Raw genomic sequence first — 7,595 nt, forward strand, 5'->3', positions numbered from 1 at the left:
TCAAGGATCTAGAACTAGAAATACCATTTGACCCAGTGATCCCATTACTGGGTATATACCCAAAGGATTATAAATCATTCTACTATAAAGACACTTGCATACGTATGTTTATTGTGGCACTATTCACAATAGCAAAGACTTGGAACCAACCCAAATGTCCATCAATGATAGACTGGATTAAGAAAATGTGGCACATATACACCATGGAATACTATGCAGCCATAAAAAAGGATGAGTTCATATTCTTTGTAGCGACATAGAAGAAGCTGGAAACCATCATTCTGAGCAAACTATCACAAAGACAGAAAACTAAACACCACGTGTTCTCACTCATAGGTGGGAATGGAACAATGAGAACACTTGAACACAGGGTGGGAACTTCACACACCAGGGCCTATCATAGGGTTGGGGGGATAGGGGAGGGATAGCATTAGAAGAAATACCTAATGTAAATGACAAGTTAATGGGTGCAGCAAACCAATGCAGCACATGTATACATATGTAACAAACCTGCATCCTGTCCACATGTATCACAGAACTTAAAGTATAGTAAGAAAAGGAAAACATTTGCATGTTTTCTAATTATGTACAACGCTATCAATTTTCTATGTGTTCCTTTATATCTTTTTAAAAATCTTATGTGTTGGAGGTTTATTCATATTGATAAACATAGTTTTAGTTTTTCTTCATTTCCCTGCCATATGTTTCATTCTATAATTAAATTCAATGGACATTTTAGTTTTTTCTTTCATTTTGTTTTATAAACAAAGCACATAAGAATATTTTGAATAATATGTACAGTATCTCCACCATCTTAGCTAAAGGTATGTTGTGACTTTTAAATAAAATGAGACAATGTAAAAAAAATGTTTTGAACACTCTGTAAAAGAGACATAATATAAGGAATAAATGACATCTTAACTTTCTTAAGCATGGAATCATTGATTATTATGGTAGGCATAGCTTACAATCTATTAGAAAAATATAAATTTATTTATAAGATTGATGTACTAATTTTTACCCAGAACAGCACAGTATGACTGTATTGTTGCACATATACCTGATATTTACATATTTTGGTAATCTTGTGAGCATGAAATTGTATCAACTGGAATATTTAATTTATATGTTCCTAATTTCAAAAACAATTTTTTTTGTTTTTTCACTTTTTTTTTCTTTTTTGTGAAAGGTACATTGATAGATTTTATTTATTTTTGTATTGGAATTTGTTCCTTCCTATTGATGTGAAGAATTTTAATTTTTTTATTACTTATATCACCTCATTTATTTTTTATTTTAAATTTTTTCCCATAAGTTTTGAGGTACAGGTGGTATTTGGTTACATGAGTAAGTTCTTTAGTTGTAATTTGTGAAATTTTAGTGCACCCATCACATGAGTAGTATACACTGCACCATATTTGTAGTCTTTTATTCCTCACCTTCCTTCGCACTCTTCACCCCAGTACCCAAGTCCATTATATCATTATTATGCCTTTGTTTCCTTATATCTTAGATCCCACATATCAGTGAAAACATACGATGTTTGGTTTTCTATTTTTGATTTACTTCACTTAGTCTCCAATCTCATCCTGTTCACTGCAAGTGCTGTTAATTTATTCATTTTTATGGCTGAGAGGTATTCCATCATATATATATATATATATATATATATATATATATATATATATATATATATATACACACACACACACATATATATTCCATCATATATATATATATATTCCATCATATACATATATATGTACATGTATATATATGTGATGCACACATACGTGTGCAAGTATCTTTTTTGAATAATACTTCTTTTCCTTTGGGTAGATACCCAGCAGTGAGATTGCTGGATCAAATGGTAGTTCTACTTTTAGTTCTTTAGGGAATCTCCACACTGTTTCCCATAGTGGCTCTACTGGTTTACATTCCCACCAGCAGTGTAGAAGTGAAGTGTTCCCTGATCACCACATCCATGCCAACATTTACTGTTTTTTGATTTTTTGATTATGACCATTCTTGCAGAAGTAAGGTGGTATCGCATTGTGGTTTTGATTTGCATTTCCCTGATCATTAGTGATGTTGAACATTTTTTCATGTGTTTGTTGGCCATGTGTATATCTTCTTTTGATTATTGTCTATTCATGTTCTTAGCCTGCTTTTTGATGGGATTGTTTGTTTATTTCTTACTGTTTGAGTTCATTGTAGATTCTGGATATTAGTTCTTGTTAGATGTATAGATTGTGAAGACTTTCTCCCACTCTGTGGGTTGCCTATTTACTCTGCTGACTGTTCCTTTTGCTATGCAAAATCTCTATACTTTAATTAGGTGCCAGCTATTTATCTTTGTTTTTAATACATTTGCTTTTGGGTTCTTGGTCATGAACTCCTTGCCTATACCAATGTCTAGAAGGGTTTTCCAAAGTTATCTTCTAGAATTTTTATAATTTCTGGTCTTAGGTTTAAGTCCTTAATCCATCTTCAGTTGATTTTTGTAGAAGGTGAGAGATGAGGATTCAGTTTCATCCTCCAACATGTGGGCTAGCCAATTACCCCAGCACCATTTGTTGAAAAGGGCGTCCTTTGCCCACTTTATGTTTTTGTTTGCTTTGTCAAAGATCAGTTGCCTTTAAGTATTTGGGTTTATCTCTGGGTTCTCTATTCTGTTTCATTGGTCTATGTGCCTGTTTTTATACCAGTGCCATGCTGTTTTGGTGACTATGGTCCTATAGTATAATTTGAAATCAGGTAATGTGATGTCTCCAGATTTGTTCTTTTTGCTTAGTCTTACTTTGGCTATGCAGGCTCTTTTTTGGCTCCATATGAATTTTAGAATTGTTTTCTTTTTCTAATTCTGTGAAGAATAATGGTGGTATTTTGATGAGGATTGCATTGAATTTCTAGATGGCTTTTGTCAGTATGTTTATTTTCATAAACATATTAATTTTTTGGTTCCATATGAATTTTAGAATTGTTTTTTTCTAATTCTGTGAAGAATGATGGTGGTATTTTGATGGGGATTGCATTGAATTTGTGGATTGCTTTTGGCAGTATGTTTATTTGCACAATATTGATTTTACCAATCCATGAGCACAGGATATGTTTCCATTTGTTTGTGTAATCTATGATTTCTTTCAGCGGCGTTTTGTAATATTCCTTTTAGAGGTCTTTTGACTTCTTTGTTAGGTATATTTTTAAGTATTTTATTTTATTTCATTTTATTTTATTTTATTTATTTTATTTTTGCTGTTAATTGTAAAAGGAGTTAAATTCTTGATTTGATTCTTCACCTAGTCACTGTTGGTGTATAGAAGAGCTACTGATTTGTATATATTAATCTCATATCCAGAAAGCTTGTGGAATTATTTTATCCATTATAGGACCTTTCTGGAGGAGTCTTTAGGGTTTTCAAGATAAACAATTATAACATCAGCAGTGACAGTTTGTCTTCCTCTTTACCAATTTGGATGCCCTTTACTTCTTTCTCTTGTCTGATTGCTCTGGCTAGGACTTCCAGTACTGTGTTGAAGAAGAGTGGTGAGAGTGGATATCCTTGACTTTTTCCAGTTCTCAGGGGAATGTGTTCAACTTCTCCCCATTCAGTATTATTTTGGCTGTGGGTTTGTCATAGATGGCTTTTATTACATTAAGGTATGTCCCTGGCATGCCGATTCTGTTGAGCGTTGTAATCATAAAAGGATGCTGGATTTTGTTGAATGCTTTTTCTGCATCTATTGAGATGATCATGTGATTTTTGTTTTTAATTCTGTTTATGTGTTGTATCACATTTATTGACTTACATATGTTAAACCATCCCTGCATCCCTAGTATGAAACCCACTTGATCATGGTGGATTATCTTTTTGATATTTTGTTAGATTTGGTTAGCTAGTATTTTGTTAAGGATTTTAGTGTCTATGTTCATCAAGGATATCAGTCTGTAGTTATCTTTTTTTGTTATCTTCTTTCCTGGTTTGGGTATTCAGGTGATGCTGGCTTCATAGAATTAATTAGGGAGGGCTCCTTCTGTCTCATCTATCTTGTGGAATAGTGTCAAAAGGATTGGTATAAATTCTTTGAATATCTGGTAGAATTCTGCTGTGAATCTGTCTGATCCTGGACTCTTTTTTGTTGGTAGTGTTTTAATCACCATTTCAATGTCACTGCTTGTTATTAATCTGTTCAGGGTGACTAATTCTTCCTAATTTAAGCTAAGAGGGTTGTGTATTTCCAGAAATATTCCCATCTCTTCTAGGTTGTCTAGATTATGTGTGTAGAGGTGTTCATAATAGCCTTGAATGATCCTTTGTATTTCTGTGGTGTTCATTGTATTATCTCCTGTTTCACTTCTTAGTGAGGTTATTTGAATTTTCTCTCTTCTTTTCTTAGTTAGTCTTGCTAATGGCCTATCAATTTTATTTATCTTTTCAGGAAACCAACACATTTTGTGTCATTGATATTTTGTAATTTTTTAAATCCAATTTCATTTAGTTCTGCTCTGATCTTGGTTATTTCCTTTCCTCTGCTGGGTTTGGGTTTGGTTTGCTATTGTTTCTCTAGTTTCGTGAAGTGTGACCTTTGAATGTCAGTTTGTGTTCTTTCAGTCTTTTTGATATAGGCATTTAGGGCTATGAGCTTTCCTCTTAGCCCTGCCTTTGCTATATCCCAGAAGTTTGGGTAGGTTGTGTCATTATTGTCATTCAGTTCAAATAATTTTTTAATTTCCATCTTGATTTTGTTTTTGACGCAACGCTCATTCAGGGACAGGTTATTTAATTTCCATGTATTTGCATGGTTTTGAAGGTTCCTTTTGGAGTTGATTTCCAGTTTTATTCCACTGTGGTCTGAGAGAGTGCTTGATATAATTTCAATTTTCTTAAATTTATTGAGGCTCATTTTATGATCTATCACTTGTATCTTGGAGAAACTTCCATGTGCTGTTGAATAGAATGTGTATTCTGCAGCTGTTGGATTAAATATTTTGTATATATCTGTTAAGTCCACTTGTTCCAAAGGTATAATTTAAATCCATTGTTTCTTTGTTGAGTTTCTGTCTTGATGACCTGTCTAGTTCTGTCAGTGGAGTGTTGAAGTCTTCCACTATTATTGTATTGCTGTCTATCTAATTTCTTAGGTCTATTTGTAATTGTTATAAATTTGGGATCTCCAGTGTTAGGTGCATATATGTTTAGGATAGTGACATTTTCCTGGTGAACAAGGCTTTTTGCCACCATATAATGTCACTTTTAGTCTCTTTTAATGCCGTTGCTTTAAAGTTTTTTTCTTTTTTTTCTTTTTTTCTGATATAAGAATAGCTACCCCTGCCTGGTTTTGGTGTCTATTTTCATGAAATGCCTTTTTCCATCACTTTACTTTTAGTTTATGTGAGTTCTTATGTGTTAGGTGAGTCTCCCGAAGGCAGCAGATAGGTAGTTGGTAAGTTCTTATCCATTTTGTGGTTCTATATCTTTTAAGTAGAGCATTTAAGTCATTACATTCAATGCTAGTATTGAAATGTGAGGTACCGATGCATACATCATGCTCTTTGTTGCCTGTGTATTTTTTTTGTTTTGTTTTTTGCTTTTTAACTTGTATTTTTGCTTTATAGTTCCTGTGTGATTTATGCTTTAAAGAAGTTCTGTTTTCATGTTTTTTTCAGGATTTGTTTCAAGATTTAGAGTTCCTTTTAGCAGTTCTTGTAGTGGTGGATTGGTAATGGTGAATTCTCTCAGGGTTTTTTTTTTTTTTTTTTTTTTTTTTTTTTTTTTTTTTTCAAAAAAGGAATGTAATTTTGCTTCATATATGATGCTTAGTTTCACTGGATACAAAATTCTTGGCTGATAATTGTTTTGTTTGAGGAGGCTGAAGATAGGGCCCCAATCCCCTCTAGATTGTAGGGTTTCGGCTGAGAAATCTGCTGTTAATCTGATAGGTTTTCCTTTATAGGTTACCTGGTCCTTCTGTCTCACAGCTCTTAAGATTCTTTCCTTCATCTTACCTTTAGATAACCTGATGACAATGTCTAGGTGATGTTCTTTTGGCAATAAATTTCCCAGGTGTTCTTTCTGATCCTTGTATTTGGATGTCTAGGTCTCCAGCAAGGCCAGAGAAGTTTTCCTGGATTATTCCACCAAATACATTTTCCAAGCTTTTAGAATTTTCTTCCTCAGGAATGTCAATAATGCTTAGGTTGGTTGTTTAACATAATCCCAGACTTTTTGCAGGCTTTGTTCATATTTTTTACCTTTGTTGAATTGGGTTAATTCGAAGACCTTGTCTTTGAGCTGTGTATTTCTTTATTATACTTGTTAAATTCTATTGCTGAGACTTTCCAGAGCATTTTGCATTTTTGTAAGTGTGTCCGATGTTTCCTGAAGTTTCAACTGTTTTTTATTTATGCTATCTATTTCCTTGAATATTTCTGCCTTCACTTCTTGTATTATTTTTTGGATTTACTATATTGGGCTTCACTTTTCTGTGATGCCTCTCTGATTAGCTTAATACTTAACCTTCTGAATTCTTTTTTAGGTAAATCAGGGATTTCTTCCTGGTTTGGATCCACTGCTGGTGAACTAGTGTGATTTTTTGTGGGTGTTAAAGAGCCTTGTTTTGTCACATTACCAGAGGTGGTTTTCTGGTTTCTTCTTGCTTGGGTAGTCTCTGTCAGGGAGAAGGTCTAGGGCTGAAGGCTGTTCTTCAGATTCTTTTGTCCCATGGGGTGTTCCCTTGATGTAGTGCTCTCCCCCTTTTCCTATGGATGTGGCTTCCTGCGAACCAAACTGCAGTGATTGTTGTCTCTCTTCTGGGTCTAGCCACTCAGCAAGTCTACCCAGCTCTGGATTGGTACTGGGGATTCTCTGCACAGAGTCCTGTGATATGAACCATCTATGGATCTCTCAGCTGTGGATACCAGAGTCTTTTCTGGTGGAGGTGGCAGGGGGGTGAAATGGACTCTGTGAAAATTCTTAGCTTTGATGGTTTAATATTCTATTTTTGTGCTGCTTGGCCTCCTGCCAGGAGGTGCTGCTTTCCGGAGAGCTTCAGCTGTGGTAGTATGGAGAGGAACCAGTGGTGGGCCAGGCTCTAAAATTCCCAAGAATATATGCCCTTTGTCTTTAGCTACCAGGGCAAATTGGAAGGCCCATCAGGTGAGGGCAGGGCTAGGTATGTCCAAGCTCAGGCTCTCCTTAGGGGGGGGTCTTGCTGTGGCTGCTGTTGGGAGTGGGGGTGATGTTCCCAGGTCATTGGAATTGTGTACCTAGGAGGATTATGGCTGCCTCTGCTGAGTCATGCAGGTTGTCAGAGAAGTGAAGGTAAGTGTCACATGCCTCACCCAGCTCCCATGCAAATCAAAGGGCTGGTCTCATTCCCACTGTGCCCTCCACCACAGCCCTGAGTCTGTCTCCAGGAGGAGGGCAAGATGGGCTTGAAAACTCTCTCCAGGCTATCAGCCTCCCAGCTGCAAAAGAAAAGGGCTTGGTTCTCCCCTCACCTGTGGAATCTGCACATTGGAATTGTGCCTTCCCGGAGTTCCGGTCGGGAGGATTCTTGCACCTTTTGAATTGTTAAAAAGTTCAGCAAGAGATT

General features: G+C 35.5%; 1 annotated feature.

Annotated features, from left to right (window-relative positions):
• Positions 6,980-7,595: an enhancer, noted in NCBI's record as "H3K27ac hESC enhancer chr3:94362039-94362654 (GRCh37/hg19 assembly coordinates)". NCBI's record gives its function as "activates a minimal SCP1, AML or CMV promoter by ChIP-STARR-seq in naive H9 embryonic stem cells {active_cell/tissue: H9 hESC(naive)}" and the evidence as "EXISTENCE:reporter gene assay evidence [ECO:0000049][PMID:30033119]".

The sequence above is a fragment of the Homo sapiens genome, chromosome 3, assembly GCF_000001405.40.
Source record: "Homo sapiens chromosome 3, GRCh38.p14 Primary Assembly".
Classification (NCBI taxonomy): Eukaryota; Metazoa; Chordata; class Mammalia; order Primates; family Hominidae; genus Homo; species Homo sapiens.